The sequence below is a fragment of the Homo sapiens genome, chromosome 15 (assembly GCF_000001405.40).
Source record: "Homo sapiens chromosome 15, GRCh38.p14 Primary Assembly".
Lineage (NCBI taxonomy): Eukaryota > Metazoa > Chordata > Mammalia > Primates > Hominidae > Homo > Homo sapiens.
This window is the reverse complement of record NC_000015.10, coordinates 30,027,748-30,028,610: the sequence shown is the minus strand read 5'-3', so window position 1 is coordinate 30,028,610 and position 863 is coordinate 30,027,748.

The window sequence follows — 863 nt, the reverse complement described above, 5'->3', positions numbered from 1 at the left end:
GATATTGGGTTCCATGATGTAATCCCAAAGTACAGAGGAAAAAGTGAGCCAGACTCTTCATCATAGGCCCATTCCTGAGCACAAAGCAATTCTGATAGAATCTTCCAGAGGAGAAGCAAAGAAGTGAGGCCAAGAGCAGGCAGGTGGGGCAGCAACCGCAGGGCCTTCCCTGGCCCTGCAGCCCACTGGGACCCCAGCCAGCCACTTCTGGTGGGCTCTGTTCAAGGTTCTCCACCTTCCTCCAGATCTGGGTTGTAATAGTAATTATGGTGACCTTCATTTTCAAAGCCTGAGCTACAAGGCCCTGGAGGTCATGGCAAGGTGAGAAAGGGAAAGTCTTGCCCCTCTTTCCAGGTCTTTCCTGAAACTCAAGGGGAGAATTATGCTTTAAAGTTACTTTAGAGCAGTAGTTTTAATGTGCTTAGTTTTCCTTTGCCTATGGGAAGCAAATTTCTTCTAAGAAATCTTGAAATATTTTTGCTCATCTTGGTATTTTTGAATACAATGATTTTCTTTGTTTTGCTTTTTTTTTTTTTTCTTTCTTTCTTTTTTAGATGGAGTTTCATTCTTGTTGCCCAGGCTGGACTGCAATGGCACGATCTTAGCTCACTACCACCTCCACCTCCCGGCTTCAAGCGATTCTCCTGTCTCAGCCTCTGGAGTAGCTGGGATTACAGGTGTGCGCCACCATGCCTGGCTAATTTTTGTATTTTTTTTTTTTTTTTCAGTAAAGACAGGGTTTCACCATGTTGGCCAGGCTGGTCTTGAACTCCTGACCTCAGGTGATCTGCTCACCTCAGTCTCCCAAAATATTGCGATTATAGGCATGAGCCACTGTGCCCAGCCTGGATACAATGATTTTC